This window comes from Homo sapiens, chromosome 6 (genome assembly GCF_000001405.40).
Source record: "Homo sapiens chromosome 6, GRCh38.p14 Primary Assembly".
Taxonomy (NCBI): Eukaryota; Metazoa; Chordata; class Mammalia; order Primates; family Hominidae; genus Homo; species Homo sapiens.
In genome coordinates, this window is record NC_000006.12 from 31,221,320 (window position 1) to 31,241,020 (window position 19,701).

The 19,701-nt window shown below is 44.4% G+C and overlaps 7 annotated features.

The window, feature by feature from the left end:
- Positions 1,681-2,182: an enhancer, noted in NCBI's record as "OCT4 hESC enhancer chr6:31190777-31191278 (GRCh37/hg19 assembly coordinates)". NCBI's record gives its function as "activates a minimal SCP1, AML or CMV promoter by ChIP-STARR-seq in naive H9 embryonic stem cells {active_cell/tissue: H9 hESC(naive)}" and the evidence as "EXISTENCE:reporter gene assay evidence [ECO:0000049][PMID:30033119]".
- Positions 2,979-3,601: an enhancer, noted in NCBI's record as "OCT4 hESC enhancer chr6:31192075-31192697 (GRCh37/hg19 assembly coordinates)". NCBI's record gives its function as "activates a minimal SCP1, AML or CMV promoter by ChIP-STARR-seq in primed H9 embryonic stem cells {active_cell/tissue: H9 hESC(primed)}" and the evidence as "EXISTENCE:reporter gene assay evidence [ECO:0000049][PMID:30033119]".
- Positions 3,695-4,290: an enhancer, noted in NCBI's record as "OCT4 hESC enhancer chr6:31192791-31193386 (GRCh37/hg19 assembly coordinates)". NCBI's record gives its function as "activates a minimal SCP1, AML or CMV promoter by ChIP-STARR-seq in primed H9 embryonic stem cells {active_cell/tissue: H9 hESC(primed)}" and the evidence as "EXISTENCE:reporter gene assay evidence [ECO:0000049][PMID:30033119]".
- Positions 7,144-7,645: an enhancer, noted in NCBI's record as "OCT4 hESC enhancer chr6:31196240-31196741 (GRCh37/hg19 assembly coordinates)". NCBI's record gives its function as "activates a minimal SCP1, AML or CMV promoter by ChIP-STARR-seq in primed H9 embryonic stem cells {active_cell/tissue: H9 hESC(primed)}" and the evidence as "EXISTENCE:reporter gene assay evidence [ECO:0000049][PMID:30033119]".
- Positions 8,218-8,727: an enhancer, noted in NCBI's record as "OCT4 hESC enhancer chr6:31197314-31197823 (GRCh37/hg19 assembly coordinates)". NCBI's record gives its function as "activates a minimal SCP1, AML or CMV promoter by ChIP-STARR-seq in primed H9 embryonic stem cells {active_cell/tissue: H9 hESC(primed)}" and the evidence as "EXISTENCE:reporter gene assay evidence [ECO:0000049][PMID:30033119]".
- Positions 14,056-14,557: an enhancer, noted in NCBI's record as "OCT4 hESC enhancer chr6:31203152-31203653 (GRCh37/hg19 assembly coordinates)". NCBI's record gives its function as "activates a minimal SCP1, AML or CMV promoter by ChIP-STARR-seq in primed H9 embryonic stem cells {active_cell/tissue: H9 hESC(primed)}" and the evidence as "EXISTENCE:reporter gene assay evidence [ECO:0000049][PMID:30033119]".
- Positions 18,331-18,832: an enhancer, noted in NCBI's record as "OCT4 hESC enhancer chr6:31207427-31207928 (GRCh37/hg19 assembly coordinates)". NCBI's record gives its function as "activates a minimal SCP1, AML or CMV promoter by ChIP-STARR-seq in primed H9 embryonic stem cells {active_cell/tissue: H9 hESC(primed)}" and the evidence as "EXISTENCE:reporter gene assay evidence [ECO:0000049][PMID:30033119]".

The following is a 19,701-nucleotide window of genomic DNA, read 5'->3' on the forward strand; positions in this document are numbered from 1 at the left end:
CTGTGGTGCCTTTTGCATTTTTCTTAAGGGATCCCAGGCTATTAGAATTTTATTTAATTTAATTTTTTTCTTATGTGGCACCAAGGTTGGCAAGAGGAAGGAGGGGCTGATAGAAATAAATAGGGGAGGCCGGGCGCAGTGGCTCATGCCTGTAATCCCAGTACTTTGGGGGGCCGAGGTGGGTGGATCACTAGGTCAGGAGTTCGAGATCAGCCTCGCCAATATAGTGAAACCCCGTCTCTACTAAAAATACAAAAATTAGCTGGGTGTGGTGGCAGGCGCCTGTAGTCCCAGCTACTTGGGAGGCTGAGGTGGGAGAATCGCTTGAACCTGGGAGGTGGAGGTTGCAGTGAGCTGAGACCACGCCATTGCACTCCAGCCTGGGTGACAGAGTGAGACTCCGTCTCAAAAAAAAAAAAAAAAACAAAGAAATAGGGAAACAGAGGAAGTGCATGTGGCTAGCAGGGGGTTGAAAAAGAGAGACATTTAGTTGACTGAGAAATGTTTACCCAGGGAGAAAAGAGACCTTAAAGCAATATGTACACACTGAAGTCTAAAATATCAGTTTTAATTAAGTCAAATTTTGACTATAGAGCTCTAAAAAAATCCTTTGACATCTCTTATTACCAGATTTTAGCCAGGAGGAACAGTTGATATTCCTGGCTTTTCACCTTCTTTACCAAAAGGTATCCTCCCAAGTGCCTTAACCAAAGTTATGACTATTAGGCCACAAGGTGGGTGGCCCTTAGTTGTTCCCTGATGAGGTGGCAAACCTGAGCCATGGCAGAAGTGTTTAATGTTTTTTTTTTTAGTTTTGCTCTGTTGCCCAGGCTGGAGCACAGTGGTGTGATCTCGCCTCACTGCAGCCTCCGCCTCTCAGGTTCAAGCGATTCTCCTGCCTCAGCCTCCTGAGTAGCTGGGACTACAGGTGCCCACCACCACACCCGACTAATTTTTGTATTTTTAGTAGAGACAGGGTTTCACCATGTTGGCCAGGATGGTCTCAATCTCTTGACCTCGTGATCTGCCCATCTCGGCCTCCCAAAGTGCTGGGATTACAGGCATGAGCCACCGCACCCGGCTGAGAAGTGTTTAATTTTAACTACCAGAAGTGTTTGAAGTGATTTTTTTGCTCTTAATTTAGTCAAGGGAATTTTTGAAGACTAGCCATGACACTACTATGTGTCCTTTTAAGACTTGATGTTTTCATTAATTGTTTAGAATAAGAAATCTCTGAAATCTTTAATAGCCCACAGAGAGAGGCTGGGAAGGTGTTCCTGTTATATAAATGAAACCTCTCAGGTAGTCAAATTTTATCTTTTTTTAACCAGCTGGGGGTTTTACAGGTGCAACCTGACTTTCTGCAGCTGTGGGCTTTCCAGTATAGCTCCTGGGCCAGGGATCTCTATCTGCTCCCCAGAGGCTTGTACCTAAGATACAGGGCTCCCTGGGCTTCTCAGTACAGGTGGACTTAAACTAATGGGCTAGAAACAGAGAAAGGGAGGTAGAATTTCCCACTTACAGCCAGACCCTGCAGCACAGCTTTCCAGAGCCTCAGCCCCCCTGCCCTGGCTGATGCTCCCTCCCTGACTCCCCTCACCAGGGCCCTGGCCCCACCACACAGCTGAGCTGGCCCAAGCCAAAGAGTTGCTGGAGCAGCAGCTGGAGTGGATCAGGCTCTGCTGGAGGGGGTGGGGGCCCCAGGCCCTGATGGTCAAGATCCAGAACCTGAAGAAACAGATAAGGAAGGAGGCACCAAGAGAGCCTGGGAGGAGACACCCAAGCTTCCCACCAGTGCCTGTGGCACCCCTCAGCATTGGAAATACTGTGCACCACCCCCAGGAACCCCAGGATCAGAAATATCCCAGCTGCTCCCAGGCCACTGGGAAAATGGAAGAGACCACAAAAGGCCAGAAGTTAGCAGTGTGATGGTTAATACTGAGTGTCAACTTGGTTGGATTGAAGGACGCAAAATACTGATCCTGGGCATGTCTGTGAGGGTGTTGCCAAAGGAGATTAACATTTGAGTCAGTGGACTGGGAAAGGCAGACCCACCCTAAATCTGGGTGGGCACCATCTAATCAGCTGCTAGCGTGGCCAGAATATAAAGCAGGGAGAAAAATGTGAAAAGGCTAGACTGGCCTCCCAGCCTACATCTTTCTCCCATACTGGATGCTTCCTGCCCTCGAACATCGAACTCCAAGTTCTTCCGCTTTGGGACTCGGACTGGCTTCCTTGCTCCTCAGCTTGCAGGCGACCTATTGTGGGACCATGTGATCATGCGAGTTAATACTACTTAATAAATCCCCCTTTATATATATATTTATTCTGTTAGTTCTAGAGAACCCTGACTAATACAGGCAGGTAGTGGGGAGCCAGGGCTCTGCAGTCTCAGTCCCATGCCTCCTTTGACCTCACAGCAGTGCACCTCAGCCTTACAGGAATTTACCCTGGATCATGTCCTACAATAACCTCTCCCCAAACACAGTAAGAAGATGTAGCATGCAGATACCACAGACACACATGTGTTCCATTTTTCGTTAGGATTTTTTTTTTTTTTTGAGATGGAGTTTCCCTCTTGTTGACCAGGCTGGAGTGCAAAGGTGCGATCTTGGCTCACTGCAACCTCTGCCTCCTGGGTTCAAGCGATTCTTGAGCCTCAGCCTCTCGAGTAGCTGGGATTACAGGCGCTCGTCATCACGCCCGGTTATTTTTGTATTTGTAGTAGACGCTGGGTTTCTCCATATTGGTCAGGCTGGTCTTGAACTTCCGACTTCAGGTGATCCACCCGCCTCGACCTCCCAAAGTGCAGGGATTATATGCGTGAGCCACCGCGCCCAGCCTAGTTAGGATTTTTAAAATTCTGACAATCAGGAATGGGGGTTCAGGAGTGGTGCTGATGCAGAGGAGGGAAGCCATGGGGTGGGGGCTGTTAGGGGTGGAGGCAGTAGTGTCTCCTTCACCCCCACCTGGGGTCTTCTCCTGAAGGACAGACTATCACATCCCAGAATTGGTGAGTCCTCTACTGTGTCTGTTCAACTGAAGAGAAAATATGGCACAGTCAGAATAAGGCATGAAAAGGGGAAAGTGAGGCAGGAACACACGGCACACATGCAGACGCTGGTGTACTGTGTGGGTTCAGAGGACGGACGTGGGGGTGAGGGAAGGGATGTAATATGATGAGAGAAGACAGAAACCCCACATAAAGGTCAGGAAAACATCCCAACACAGCATCAAAGGCCAGGGGGCATGAACCAGTCAAGTGTCCATTATGCATCAGATGCCCATGACCTATGTGATGAGATTGAAGAAAAACATACTAAGGTTCAGGGAGGAACTAAGTGTTTCATGAGATCAGCACTCACCGTGGAGGAGACATCTGTCTCATCAGGCAGCTCACTAACACTGACCTCGAAGCGATGCTGCCCATCACACTGGATCCTTGCATGATTCTCATCTGACACAAACGCTGATGGCCAAGCCCTGTTCCAAACCAGCCTGCTCTAGTCACCTGAAAGGAGGCAGAGGGTAGAAACAGAAGACCCAAAGAGGGAAGACACCCAGAGGGAGGGAAGAGGATGTAAGGTGTGAAAAGATAGAAAACATAAGGAATGGGAGAGTAGGTGTCCTTCTGGGTGTGGGGCTCACCTGTCATTGATAAAGGCAATGCTCATCCACTTGATGTCTATGACGTGGCCCAATAGGTTGGTAACCATAGAACTGGTCATTGAAAATCTTTTGGGGTCATTCTTGGACATGTGCAGAACAGCAAACAATTTTAGTCACCTGATGTGTTTCCTTGGCTTCCTGTTCAGTTTTCCTTAGGCCTCAGCTGCTGCTATTGCTGCTGGCTGCTCTCCACATTCTCCTAAATTCCAGATGGGTGTGAGGAGGTAAGGGCGGGAAGAAATAGTGGATTGTGGATTGAGGTGCGATTTCCCACCACTGGAGGGGACAGATTCATAAGCTGGCATTGAAGAGGTTCCTGCCCTTTGCACAGTGTGTTTGGTCACCCCAGTGCTCAGGCTGAACCCTGAGAAGAAAGAGGAACTTGACTGTCTGAAGGCTCTTGGGTGGTGTTTAAGACCCCTGGCCACTGTGTCCTGGCTGAATGCATACATGCAGATGGAATCTCTTTCTTTCTTTTTTTTTTTGAGACGGAGTCTCGCTCTGTCTCCAAGGCTGGAGTGCAGTGGCGCAATCTTGGCTCACTGCAAGCTCCGCCTCCTGGGTTCACGCCATTCTCCTGCCTCAGCCTCCTGAGTAGCTGGGACTACAGGCACCCGCCACCACACCCGGCTAATTTTTTGTATTTTTAGTAGAGACAGGGTTTCACTGTGTTAGAATGGTCTCGATCTCCTGACCTGGCGATCCGCCTGCCTCGGCCTCCCAAAGTGCTGGGATTACAGGCATGATCCATTGCACCCGGCCTCGATATAGAAGTTTTTAAGAGCCAGACGCTTGAACTTGTGGGCATCGGTTTGGGGAAAGAGTCAGTTGGAGTAAAGTTATCTTGAGGCATTAACTTTTTTGCTTCTTAAGGCCATTGGTCTTTTATGCTAGTCTTTCTACAAACATAACATGAGGAAACGCCTAGGCTGGCAGCAATGTTTTCAGCCAGCTGAACAAATAGGTTTTTGGCTAAAGGAGGAGGCTCTGATAACTTCCGGTTTATATGCTCAAAGAATGACTTAAAGACTCAGAATTGCTCCTGGGCTGACTGCTTGGTTCAAGTCTTCTTTATAATATACAAAGTTGTTTTAGCTTTTTGACCGTAGCTTTGTAATGCCATGGAGTAGCCTATAGTCCATACAGGTAGGTTTGGCCTTAAGATAGTAAGATTTACAGGATTGCAAATGCTTGTCTTACAATCTGGTTTTGCTGGTACTTTGATGAGCAAGATTGGCTTTGGCCTCAGTGATGATCGGTCAGTGAACTGCATTGTGCAGTTCCAGCAAGCTATTGCTAGGGCCTTGGAGGGACAAACAGGGAGTGTACATACAATTTTATACTGGCAGTTTTTATAGTACTTTGTAGGACTAGAGATTGTGAGATAGGTTGGGTTCATGGATGTTAACTGACAAATATCAAAGTATATGGATATAGCCCCCACCCTGGGAAGGAGAGGCTTGGGTTTGACTTACAAGACTTCTTTTTTTTTTTTTTTACTTGTATGAATCTTAAACTAAGTCCTAGGTAAAGACTTCGGTCATAGCATATATAAGGCTGGCCATTTCTTGGGTCACAAATTGAACAGGTGGTCTGATTATAAGTACAAGTTCTTTTTTTTTTTTTTGAGACGGAGTCTCGCTCTGTCTCCAAGGCTGGAGTGCAGTGGCGCAATCTTGGCTCACTGCAAGCTCCGCCTCCCGGGTTCACGCCATTCTCCTGCCTCAGCCTCCCGAGTAGCTGGGACTATAGGAGCCCACCACCACGCCCGGCTAATTTTTTTTTTTTTTATTTTTAGTAGAGACGGGGGTTTCACCGTGTTAGCCAGGATGGTCTCGATCTCCTGACCTTGTGATCCACCCGCCTCGGCCTCCCAAAGTGCTGGGATTACAGGCGTGAGCCACCGCGCCCGGCCTTATAAGTACAAGTTCTTAAGCGAGTCTTTGTACACTTATAAGTATGGTACAACAGAGTTCTAGTTGTACTGTTCTTTGACTAAGTAGTATGTGTACAGTGGGGACACTTTTCTGTCAGTGTTTCTTCTAGTATGGTTAAGGGGGTAACAACATCAAAACAATGTACAGCATATTTAAATCTAGCAAGGACAAAAGAGGTCTTTATTTGGGGGAGGAGGTTGAGCACAGTGACAGAACAATAGGAAAACAGTTAGTATTACAGGAAAACTACTAGTCTTAAGATTTCTAACTACATTTACTTGCTTGATGAGTCTTTAAGCTTCAGCCGTGCATAGACTAGTCAGCTTCCGGTGTGTGACTAGAGCAAGGCTTGTTGTTTCTTCAAACTTCAGCTGTGCGTAGACTGGTCAGCCTCTGGAGTGACCAGAGCAGGGCTGTTGTCTTCAGCAGCAGCTTGGTCTTGTCTCAGGATCAGCCGGGTTGGATGATCTGGGTGTTGCTGGCTGGTTCACTTGTCCTGAGCTGCCGATTTTAGCCGACTGTGATGGAGTTAAGGCACGATTCTTGCAACTTTAACAGCAGTGGGAGTGGACAAGATTACTCTGTGGGGCTTATCTTACATGGGTCTTAGAGAAGTTGGGTTCTACTTTTTAACTTAAACAAAGCTACTAGGTTTAAAGGGTGTACTGGGTCTGTTAGACTTCTAGGCATTCTTTTATGTACTTAACTATGAACACTTTGCATGGCTGTTTCTAAAGCCTGCATTTGATTTCTTAAGGTTAGTTCTTTTAGTTCTTGGAGATCACTTTTAATTTGACGGTGGCTGATTGAACAAAATCTTATAGGGTAAATACTTAGTTTGTTTGGTGGGGGTGCGCTTGGCTCAGAGGAGGACTATAGGCAAGACTTGATTCTGTCTCAGATGAGTTTCTTGGCAATATTTCTTCAGTAGCTGCTTGAGTGTCTGGTTCATGCATTCTACAGTAAAATAATCTTTTTTTCTCTTTTTTTCCTTCAACTTTGCTCTAGAAAAAAGAAGTGTCCAAGGCCTATTTTTTTAGCCCTAGCTATTCAGACAGTGTTATCTTATAACTGTCCTTGGGTTGGGCACGGTAGCTCACGCCTGTAATCCCAGCACTTTGGGAGACCGAGGTGGGCAGATCACGAGGTCAGGAGATCGAGACCATCCTGGCTAACATGGTGAAACCCTGTCTCTACTAAAAATACAAAAAATTACCCAGGTGTGGTGGTGGGTGCCTGTAGTCCCAGCTACTCGGGAGGCTGAGGCGGGAGAATGGCGTGAACCTGGGAGGCGGAGCTTGCAGTGAGCCGAGATTGTGTCATGGCACTCCAGCCTGGGTGACAAAGCGAGACACCATCTAAAAAAAAATATATGTATAAAACTGTCCTTGAGGTAAGCTTGCTAAGCAGAAAAAAACTTGTTCTTTTCTTTTTCTTTTTAACTTTTGCCTTGCCACATTCTAAGCCTTAGCTTTAACTTAAAGTAAGTAAATGCAATACTTATTATTATTATTATTATTTTTAAATTTCTGCCTCAGAATGAATAAATTACATGTATTTTTTTTTTGAAGCCATGCCTTTGGATTAGGGCAAACTCTAGGATATTTAAGTGAATTCCCTGAGGAATGTGGACTCTGTAAGCAGGTGAGTGCATTATTCTCTGCTTCTCTCTCTCCACAGGGCCGTCGTTCACCCTCCTCCACCTTGTCCCCTGCACTGGGAGGCAACCACAACAGGCACGGCCCATGCTCCTGCACCACCTGGCTTCTGCTTGGGTGTGGATGATAACAGGCACCTGCAGGAGATGGGAGCATGCGGGGAGAAGTAACTCAGGGTTTTCATTTCCCTCACTCCCTCTGGACAGCTCTGTGGTTCCGTAATCATTGCCGTCCTCTACCTACAGCCACAGGCATGTGGGTCTGCCCCTAGTGAAAGCTACAGATTTCCTTGGGTTCTGGAAACTGCTCCCTTCGTTGCTCTTTCAAGCTTCAAGATGAAAACAGTTTCCTGCCAGGAATAATCCCAGGGAGCTTCAGCGCCCTTTGTGGCTTTCTTAGCCCTGCCGGCACCTGTGTAGAAGGTGCCATCTCAGGCCAGCGCGGTGGCTCAAACGTGTAATCTCAGCACCTTGAGAGGCTGAGGCCAGAGGATCACCTGAGGTTGGGAGTTCAAGACCAGCCTGACCAACATGGAGAAACCCTGTCTCTACTAAAAATAAAAAATTAGCTGGGCGTGGTGGCGCATGCCTGTAATCCCAGCTACTCGGGAGGCTGAGGCAGGAGAATTGCTTGAACCCAGGAGGCAGAGGTTGTGGTGAGCCGAGATCACACCATTGCACTCCAGCCTGGGCAACAAGAGTGAAACTCAGTCTCGGAAAAAAAAAAAAGGTGCCATCTCTTTCCTGCCAGGTCCCTGACTGACCACAGGGTGCTCCCACAAAAGGAGAAGTGACAAGAATGTATTTAAGACATTGCACTAACACATCTATTCATGATGTTAATTCAAAAAATTGACTTACTACAATAAAAGGGAAAAATAAGAGTATTCTGGAAACAGAGCAGGAAGGAAGGCAAAGGTGAAAACAATCAATCTGGGGCATCTGAGAAGCCCCAAGTGCAGAGGCTGCCCTGAGTCTTTAGAGGACAAGAAACAGAACACACGACCCAAAAGTGAGAGACAGAGCCTGGCCGGAGCAGGATGATAACGGCTCTCCTACAGAGTACTATTCCTGTAAATCTCTGACGAGAGGGGTGAGATCAACATGTAAAAATACACACACACAAAGTGGAGCTGAGGGCAGGATGGAGAACTCTCATTCTCAGCCCATGACCTCCATGGACTTGGAGAAAGACTCAGCCTGGAGATGTGTGAGGCCTCCGACCTGGAGCAGCACCCGCCCCTAAAGACCAGGCACAAATCCCAGCACACGGGGGGATCCAGACAAATACACAAGAAATGACCACAGCAGGAACTTTATTGAGCACGGAGCAAGGGTGCACACCACTCAGCACCTGCCCCTCCACCTGTCCTTCTCTCCCCACCTGCCTCTGCCCCAGCACAGCAGGTCCTCAGAATCCAAAAAGAGAACCTAACCTGCATGTTCTCTCTCTCTCTTTCTTTTTTTTTTTTTTTTTTTTTGAGACAGAGTTTATCTCTTGTTGCCAGGCTGGAGTGCAATGGCGTGATTTCGGCTCACTGCAACCTCCACCTCCTGGTTCAAGCAATTCTCTTGCCTCAGCATCCCGAGTAGCTGGGATTACAGGCAGCTGCCACCACACCCAGCTAATTTGTGTATTTTTAGAGATGGGGTTTTCACCATGTTAGCCAGGCTGGTCTCGAATTCCTGACCTCAGGTGATCTGCCTGTCTTGGCTTCCCAAAGTGCTGGGATTACAGGCGTGAGCCACCACGCCTAGCCTCCATGTTCTCTTAATAGTTTGTAATATCTTATCACAGCTTCAAAGAAAGGATATGAGAATAATAACTCATAGAGCAAGATATCTGTTTAGAGTGAGTGAGTCACAGGGGAGATCTGGGAGGGAAACACTGCAACTCTTTCATTCCCAGAAAAAGAAGGTTGATCCAGGGAAGGGGACACCGGGCCTGGATATTGGGATTATGTGGAAGGGGTTCTGGGACATCAGGGGAATGGGCCCCTCTCCCTGTATCCTTCCTGGGCTATGCTTGGGAGGAGACACAGTTTATCAGCTGTGCAGCTGGGGGAAGAGAAGTCAGGGTCCAGAGACAAGGGGAGCTGAGAACAATCTGTGTCTTGCTGGTCTGCAGAAGGCAGCTCTCAAACTGTAGAGAACAGTTTGGGATGATGAAAATGTTCTAAAATTAGATATGGTGATTTAAAAATCCAAATATGTGAAAAACCATTGAATTGTATACTTTAAATGGGTGAATGATATGTGAATTATATCTTAATAAAGTTTAAGGAAAGAAATATAATGATATGTCATGACAAATCCACTAGAATTTCTAAATTAAAATCACTGACTATTCCAAATGTTGGTGCGAATATGGACCATCAAGAGCTGTCACACACTTTGTCTAGCAGTGTGGCATCATCTCTTTGGGTAGGATATCATATACATACACCAGTAATTCCACTCTTAGGCATATAATTTTGAAAGATATATGCTCATTGTGCCAACATACATGTGCAAGAAGGCTTACAACAGCATTGTTTGTAATTTTTAAAACCTGAAAACAAATAAAATGACCACAAACAAAGAAGGATTAATTTAATGTGTGGAATTCTATGAATAATAAACATGAATGCTCTAGAGACACCTATAACAACTTAGCAAACATACATTTGAGCTAAAATAAGGTCTCATAAGAATACACATAGCACGATTCCATTTGTATCAAAAGATTCAAAATCTATATGAAGTTTGAGATAACCTATATTGTTTTAGAGATGTATGCATGGGAGTAAAGCTTTAAAGAAAGGCGTGAACAGGATTACTATGAAATCAGGATGAGGGTGAACTCTCACGACAGCAAAGGGATTGTTATTGCTATCAGGATTGGTATGGAAACTTCCGTGTGTTTTTTTTCCTGACTTTTGTTTCTTTTTCACATGGATTTTCCCTTTAAAACCATTTGTTAAAATGTAAATATAATTCAGGCACTTCACTTTTGGTTGTAACTTACACTGTAAGACTGCTAAAAAAAAAATAATATTAGCTACTTACGTGTAATTGGAAAAATTAACCTTTATTCACAAAAGAGATGGGCTGCCCCCTATACCACGAATCAGAGAAGAGACCATGAATTGAAATGGGAACTTGGAATTGTCATTATTCCGTAATTATACTCAGGATCCTGTCCATGAAACATTGGAATACCACTGTCCAACCCCCTTCTGCAGTGATGGAGTGTCTATATCTGAGCTATTCATTATGGCACAGATACAGACATTCATATTCTGTGAATTCTGAGTACTTGAAATATATGGCTGGTGCAAATAAGAAACTGGCTTTTAAAATCCATTTAATTTTAATTAATTAAAGTGTAAATAGTGCCATGTGGACAAGGCAGAATTACAGTGCCGAGACCAGCTCAGTCGGGGAGACCCTAACCCAGTGGCGCTAGAGGAATTAAAGACACACACACAGAAATATGGCGTGTGGGGTGGGAAATGAGGAGTCTCACAGCCTTCATTCCAGTAAACAGTCATTGTGACCGGTTGTCCCGCTTTCCTCAGGTTTTCTTCCACCATCTGTGACAGCTTCTTGATCTGTCCCCAGGTGGGTGGCTGTGTTCAACGGGTGTTGCTCGTGACAGTTAGGGTCCTCCTCAGCATCAGTCTCGACATGGCTGCAACCAGGGGGTCCTCGGGATCCTCCTGGAATCTCTTCCTTGGCATCTGGCTCATGATAAGGTTTTAGGTGTCTTGATAGTATCCAAATTGGCTGCTGGTTTTGGCCTGGAGAAACACAAGCATAACCTCTACCCAAGTTATTATTTTACCTATGTCCCAACTTTTTGTTATTGGATCTCTTCACCAAACCAGTTGTTCTGCTCCTGTCTTTGCAGCTGGTTTCTGTAGATGCTGTTCAGCTGCTGATAACATCTGGCCTTTGGGCAGCCTCAAAAAATTTAAAGTTAATAATGCTAGATTCAGTTGTGTATGGGCTGTCTCGTAATCCCTGTTTCTCCCCCTTTTTTGTCATCAGTTGTTCATCTGTATAAATCATAACTGAGCATTTTCAATTAATTGCATGGAATGAACCATGTATAAAGAATCAGAAATCACATTAACAGGCATATCAAAAGCAGTCAGCACCTCAATTACAGCTACAAGCTCTGCTTTCTGAGCTGAAGTATAGGTTGCCTGGAAAGCTTTACCTTTTGATCCAGAATAAGAAGCTTTACCATTGCTAGACCCATCTGTGAAATAATGAAAATGCTTAGCAGGCTGCAGATTGTTTACCACAGGAATTGTAAATGCAAACCGTTCACTGTCTTGCTTAGCTAAGGGTATAGTAAAGAAAGAGTCCTTCCTGGCTGTAATGCTCCTATAGCTTGTATAACTGAATTAATGGCTCCTAAATCAGTTAACATTCTCCATTTACCTGATTTTTTCTTAATTACAAAAGCTGGAGAATTCCAAGGGGAAAGTGTTGTAGCTATGTTCTCATTTTCTAATTGTACATTAACGAAGTTCTCTAAAGTCTCCAGTTTCTCTTTACTTAGCAGCCACTGTTCTATCCAAATTGGCTTATCTGTTAACCATTTTAAAGGTATAGGTTCTGGAGGCTTAACAATGACTGCCATCAAAAATGATACCCTAAACCTTGGCGGGAACTTTGTCTCTCCACTTGAAGCATTTTTTTTCAAACCTTGCAAATTTTTTCCTAGTCCCATACCAGGGACATGCCCCATTTCATGCATCATATGTTGACTTTGAGGGCTATATAATTGCTCTGGAAGTAGAACTTGTGCTCCCCATTGTTGTAATAAATCTCTCCCCCATAAATTTATAGATACGGAAGTTATAATTGGTTGAATAGTCCCAGGTTGTCCATCGGGCCCTTCACAATGCAAAATATAATGGCTTTGATATACTTCAGGGGCTTTACCAACTCCAACTGTTTTAAGTTGAGTGTGTTGAACTGGCCACGCAGACGGCCAGTGCTGTAGAGAAATGATTGAAATGTCCGCTCCTGTATCTACCAAATCTTTACATTTCTTTCCCTGAATAGTTATTTCACAGGTAGGACGTTTATCAGTAATTTGATTCACCCAATAAGCTGCTTTGCCTTGTTTATTTGTGCTTCCAAATCCTCCTGTTTGTTTAATTTCACTTTTCCCATTCCCACATACGGCACAATCAGGAGCTGTGCTATACACTCTCCTGGCTCTGCTTTCCAGGGAACAGAAGTAGATATAACAATTTGAATTTCCCCATTGTAATCTGAATCAATGACCCCTGTATGTATTTGTACTCCTTTTAAACTTAAACTAGGCCTTCCTAGAAATAATCCTATCGTTCCCGCTGGCAAGGGTCCACAGACCCCTGTTGGGACCTTTTGCAGGGTTTCCCCAGGCAGAAGCCTCACAGCTTTTGTGCAACATAAATCTACTGTGGTGCTACTGGCTGTGGCGGGGGACAGATATTGTACAAGGATGAGGGAATGGCCTGAGCCAGAAATGCCCCGGTTTGGAATGGGGCCCCGGGATGGGCCCCTCATGGTGTTTCCTGAAATCAGGTTCCCATCTTTATCAAACTTAGAGTGACACTGATTAGCCCAATGTTTTCCTTTTTTGCATTTTGGACATATTTCAGGCTCAGTAGTTTTCTTTTTTTCCCCTATATGGTGGCCTGACTTGCTGATTTTTTCTACATTGTTTTTTAGTGTGATCATGCTTCAAACAGTTAAAACAAGCTCCAGGAAATGGAGTATTTCCTTTATCCACTCTCAGTCCTGCCATTGCCTGTGCCAACAAAGTAGCTTTATGCAGATTACCTCCGATACCGTCACAGGCCTTGATATAATCAACTAAATGTGCTTTCCCTCTAATAGGTCACAAAGCAGCCTGGCAATCGAGATTAACATTGCCAAAAGCTAATAACTGCAACACTATACTCTGAGCAGCTGAATCTGAAATCACCTTTTTAAGAGACTCCTGTCTTAAGAGATTCCAAGCTATAAAATCTGCATACAGTTCTTTTGGTCCCTGTTTTACAGCACTAAAGGAAGGGTATTGTTCTCCACCTGAAGTGATTTTTTCCCAAGCTCTAATGCACACTCCTCTAAGCTGCTCTACGGCATCATCCTGTATGACCACTTGTGCGTCTAAACCAGCCCAGCAGCCGACCCCCAAAAGTTGGTCCATGTTATATTAATTTGAGTTTCGGCCTGGGCATTGCAAGCAGCCTGAATGGAAGCTTCATCTGCCCACCAAGTTTTAAATTGTAAGAATTGAGCAGGACTTAGACAAGCTCGAATAAGAGTGTCCCCGTCAGCAGGAATCATCCGACTGGAAACAGCAACATTCTTTAACAGTCCCATTACAAAAGGAGAACCTGGTCCATACTGATTAATAGCTTGTTTAAATTATTTGAGTAATTTAAAAGGAAAAGGCTCAAATGTAGCTATAATATTTCCCTGTTGATCAGGTGGTGTATTCTAACAGGGAACTGCCAAGCCTCTATATCACCCTCTCGTCTAGCCTGCTGAACTCCTGCCTGAATAGAACTGACAGCAGTCGCTCGAGGTGCTGCTCAGTCACTGGGGCAACTACTTTTCGCCCAGTGTCCTCCAGAAAAGAAAGATCTGGAGGGTCTGGCCACTCTTTTTCTTCAAAATAATAATGAGGGGGTGCAGAAGGGTAGGGATGAACCTCTTCCTCCTTTGCCGCTTTAGCTTTAGCTGGCAAATAAACCTGCTCTGTAACCTCTTCTGTTACTTCGTCATACTCTCCTTCCTCCTCATCATCAGTGTGAAAAAGTTCCAAGGTGGAACGAACCAGAGCCCACACTTGTCCCATTGTTACCGGATGCTTCCAAGCTCCCCATCTTACTCACTACGAGGATTGCTTAAGAGTACTTGGGTGTCCTCCAGCTTAGTTCCCCATTCTCCAACTGTTGCTCTGGCGACCCTTCAACCTGGATTCGAGCCCCCACGTATGGGTGCTGCTTACTGAGACCAGCTTGGTGGGGGAGACCCTAACCCAGCAGAGCTAGAGGAATTAAAGATACACACACAGAAATATAGAGGTGTGGAGTGGGAAATCAGGGGTTTCACAGCCTTCAGAGCCAAGAGCCTTGAACAGAGATTTACCCATGTATTTATTGACAGCAAGCCAGTGATAAGCATTGTTTCTATAGATTATAGATTAACTAAAAGTATTCCTTACAGGAAACAAAGGGATGGGCTGAAATGAAGGGATGGGCTCTGGCTAGTTATCTGCAGCAGGAGCATGTCCTTAAGGCACAGATTGCTCACGCTACTGTTTGTGGTTTAAGAACACCTTTAAGTGGTTTTCCACTCTGGGTGGGCCAGGTGTTCCTTGCCCCCATTCTGGTAAACCCACAACATTCCAGCGTGGGCATCATGGCCATCACGAACATGTCACAGTGCTGCAGAGATTTTGTTTATGGCCAGTTTTGGGGCCAGTTTATGGCCATATTTTGGGGGGCCCGTTCCCAACATTACAGAAACAAAATGCAGCATCTACTATCACTATCTTTTTGTTCAGTCATCCATTATGTGAATGACAACTTCATTGTTACTAACTTTGGAAAGATCCCATTTCAAAGAAAAATGGGATTTCAGCTTCTTCAGTGGTAGATTTTCTTACACTCAGCAGCTAATAAAATATCTGAACCCCACAAAAAACCCCTGTTTATCTCTGTTATCTCTGGGTATAGAAAAATGCTGAATTCTTATTTGTATGTGAAATAAAGTGGTTTTTCAATAAGAAATTTTGCTATAAGGTAAGAATTTTATTCTAAATATAATTTCTTTCTTTCTTTCTTTCTTTCTTTCTTTCTTTCTTTCTTTCTTTCTTTCTTTCTTTCTTTCTTTCTTTCTTTCCTCCTTCCTTCCTTCCTTGTTTTTTGTTTTTGAGACAGGTTCTCACTCTGTTGCCGTGTCTGGAGTGCAGTGGTGCGATCTTGGCTCACTGCAACCTCTGCCTCCCAGGTTTAAGTGGTTCTCTTGCCTCAGCCTCCCGAGTAGCTGGGATTACAGGTGCCCACCACCATGCCCGGCTAATTTTTGAATTTTTAGTAGAGACGGGGTTTCACCATGTTGGCCAGGCTGGTCTCGAACTCTTGACCTCATTCCTAGAGCATTTTTTCCATTCATCTTTTATTAGTATTCAGATACACCTAGCAGCTGGTATGTTTTGTAGGATAGTTTTTGGTCATTCATTCTACCATGATTTAGCTTAGTATTAAAGGTTTATAGAATTTCCTTTTAGTTTGTAATTTAGAAACAAGATTGACATTTACTTCTTGTTCATATTCTCTAAGTTTTCACAACAGCTTCTCTCAGATAAGATCTCAAGGCCAGACATGGTGGCTCATGCTTGTAATCCCAGCACTTTGGGAGGCCCATATCACCTGGGGTCGGGAGTTCGAGACCAGCCTGGCCAGCATGGTGAAACCCCGTCTCTACTAAAAATACAAAAATTAGCCAGGCATGGTGACAGGTGCCTGTAGTCCCAGCTACTCAGGAGACTGAGGCAGGAGAATCGCTTGAACCCAGGAGGCGAGGTTGCAGTGAGCCGAGATCATGCCATTGCACTCCAGCCTGGCGGTAGAGTGAGACTTTGTCTCAAAAAAAAAAAAAACAAAAAAAAAAAACTCCAATAATCAGTTCAAGGTTGAACTGCTAACAATAAGATTTGAAGTTAACATTTAATTAATTTATTTATTTTTTAGACTCAGGGCCTCACTCTGTTGCCCAGGCTGGTATGCAGTGGCACCATCAGAGCTTCCTGCAGCCTTGAACTCCTGGGCTTAAGGGATCCTCCCACTCAGCCTCCTGAGTAGCTGGGACTGCAGGTGTGCACCACCATGTCCAGCTTAACATTTTATTTTATCTGATAGTAGAGTGAAGCACTTGCATTACAAAAATAAAATACATACAAATTACAACAACTTTGCCAATCTAACATATGACCTCGAATGATAGTTAAATTAGGAGCCAGTCAGCCACTTTCAAACATGTTTTTCAAAGTGAAATTTTAAAGGCAGTGTCATTGTTTACTTCTACTAATGCTCATAGGTTTAGCTGTGGTCCTGCTATAGAGTTTGTTAAGAAAACTTCCCTGAGTTGTTTTAAATGGTCTTATCAAAGCCAAACACTGAAATCCTATAATCATTGGAATTGGGAACAAAAGATACATTTCTAGGCTTTATTTTATTATAAATTAAAATCTTAGTGATGGTAGGATCATTTTTCCTTATGGATTTTTTCTAATATATTTAAAGCATAGATAATTGTGTTCAATCAGTTGTATTTTATGCTGAATCATTTGACCATGTGAGGAAAGCATATTTTTGGACTCTTATCCCATCTTGACTAGAGGGATCAGTAAAAACCTGGAATGAAGAAGTTCTTCATGTGCACATCTTTTTTTCTTGTGTGCACTGCCCTTCATTCACACTTCTGTGCATTCACACATTTGTGATTGCACGTTTTGGTATTGATTTAGAATCATTTATTAATTCCACAGTCAAGTTAATAAAATGCCATTGGGAATTAAAGATAAATTTTACATGCATTTTCTCAAAATTCATTACTTGATCCATTTATTCATTCTAAACCCATGTCAAATGCCATTCTTTAAACCTCATGTTTTATTAAAGTTGATTTCACTTATTAATTCAATCAAAAGCCATTGAAGTTTATAGCAAGAGGCATCAAAGAAGGCAGAATGTTTCTATCTGTTCTGGGATTAACGGGGGTAGAAAGATGGGAAGGGCAGAGGGACAAGAGGCCTCACAGAGACAGACAAGATATAAAGACACCTGCCTCCCTGGCCAGAAACCAACTTCCAGGATTCAGGATTCAGGAGTAAAGTGTCCCAATAATTAGAAGGTTTCCTGGTCTCTCTCAAATTCAGTGCTCATTTGGCCAGGGATAAGGCCCTCACACCCTTTGCTTTGAGGATCCAAGCTTAGAATGTGGCTGTCTCTGGGACATTTCATGCTAAAGAAAGCCCAGCAAGTGTAGACAAAGAGTCTAGAGGGCACCAGCCACCCTTCCATGGAACTCTGTTCAAGGCAACTCTCTGTGTTCTGTTACTTATATTGGCCGCGTCTTCAGGAATTTAGCGAAATGGCCATGTTGTCTCTGAGTGGAAGTGAGGGGAGGCCACTGGGCAGTCAGAGATTTTGAATCCCTGTTTCCTTTCCCCCCATCTCAACCAGAGGCCACTTGTGAAAGCCCAAGAAAAAAAGACACGAATGTCAGAGGTGAATCCAGGCTCATGAACCCATTGTGGTCACGGGACTGAAGCCACGTGGCCCAACAGTAATGAAGTCTGTGAGGCCTTGGTAACCCCAAAGCTCTCCCCCAATTAGGAGCTGCCTCTCACTGCCATCAGGCACCCCAGGAGCTGGACATGTGGCATTCTTTGTCATGTCTGATGAGGAACTGGAGAGGTCCCAGAGCATATAGACCTTGATCGAATTGGAGCTAGAGTGGAGTCAGGCAAAACTCTGCATTGACTCAGAGGCACCTACATGTGAAATAAAGTCTCCACTCAGAGCTTCCATCAGAGCATCAGGCTCAGTAGCAATTCCTTTCTGCTGTTGCTGTATTTGCCCTGTGACAACTGGTGCTTGAAGGAAGGAGAAATCATTATGTGTGCAGGAAAGCACATGCAATTAGAAAACTGGGACATGATTCATAAGGCAGGAGGGACCCTTTTCTCTTTCGTGGTAGATGTGGGACTCCCTGTCATCTTTGTCCTGATGCCCCAAGTGCACAAGGTGAATTTTCCTGCTCTCAGTTGAGTGACCAACACTGGGAGCTGGAATTCAGAGAAACAGTGGCAGCCTCTCTCTCTCCATCCCCCATCCCAGTAAATCTAAGGCAAGGGCCTAGGGCTCTTGCACTTTATTTTCACCATGCATTTTCCTTCTCTGGTTAAGAAAATAACCAAATGGCCAGGCGTGGTGGCTCACACCTGTAATCCCAGCACTTCGGGAGGCTGAGGTGGGAGGAGCACCTGAGGTCAGGAGTTCGAGACCAGCCTGGCAAACATGATGAAACTCCATCTCTACCAAAAATGCAAAAATTAGCCAGATGTGGTGGCATGCACCTGTAATCCCAGCTACTCAGGAGGCTGAGGCATGAGGATCACTTGAACTCGGAAGGTGGAGGTTGCAGCCAGCTGAGATTGTGCCACTGCACTCCAGCCTGTGATAGAGTGAGACCCTGTCTCGACAACAACAACAACAACAACAACAACAACAACAAAAAGGAAATAAAAAAAGAGAAAATAACCAAATGTATAAAAATCAAGGTTGCAATTCTGCAATTCTTGTGGCACCCAGAATACTGGACTAGACCAAGGGTGCCAGGTGCTTGTCACTGCTCCACCACTCAACGGCTGTGACCTCAGGAGAATCTCTCCAAGTCCTGGTGCTTGTTAATTCATCTGTGAGTCATGGATAAACACATCCATTCTAGTGAGAATAAATGAAAACACATTTCATCCTTACTGAGATGCAGTGAGTGTCGCCCCAGTACTAAGGGGTAAATGCAGAGAGAAACATTAGTTTAGGATTTTTTTTTTTTTTTGAGATGGAGTTTCACTCTTGTTGCCCAGGCTGGAATGCAATTGCACGATCTCTGCTTACTGCAACCTCTCCCCACTGTGTTCAAGCAATTCACCTACCTCAGCCTCCCAAGTAGCTGGAACTATAGGCTTGTGCCACTATGCCCGGCTAATTTTTTTGTATTTTTAGTAGAGTTAGGGTTTCACCATTTTGGCCAGACTGGTCTTCAACTCCTGATCTCAGGTGATCCACCCGCCTCAGCCTCCCAAAGTGCTAGGATTACAGGTGTGAGCCACCGTGCCTGACCATCAGCTCGGGATTTTAAGAAACATGATCCTTAAAAGTAGGAAGAAAGCACATAATACCTGCAAAGCCCTGGGCAAAAATCCTCTTTTACTTCAGTAATGATTACAAAATAATTATTTCTCATAACTTCTAGAAAATTAGAGGAAAACTCATTCCTTCAACATCTCAAGAAACTTAAATACAGATGATGATTATATATCAGATTGGAACCACAAGCTTTGTTCTGAGTAAAACTGAAAAGAAATGGGGATATCTCCATTTTTGAGTGGTGACCATGGGACCCAAAGTGGTTTGTAAATGACCCTTTATCATCTACACTTGTCAAGTTTCAATTGATTCACTCAGTTCTTAGAAATCCCTGATAATTCATAATCTTGAAAAAATTTCATGTCCAGATACTAGGCAGGGTAATATGTTTGTTTTAATTTGCTAGGGCTGCCATAACAAAGTACCACACACTGGGTGACGTAAAGAACAGAAAAATTATTGTGCCACAGTTCCAGAGGCTGGAAGTCCAAGATCATGGTGTTGG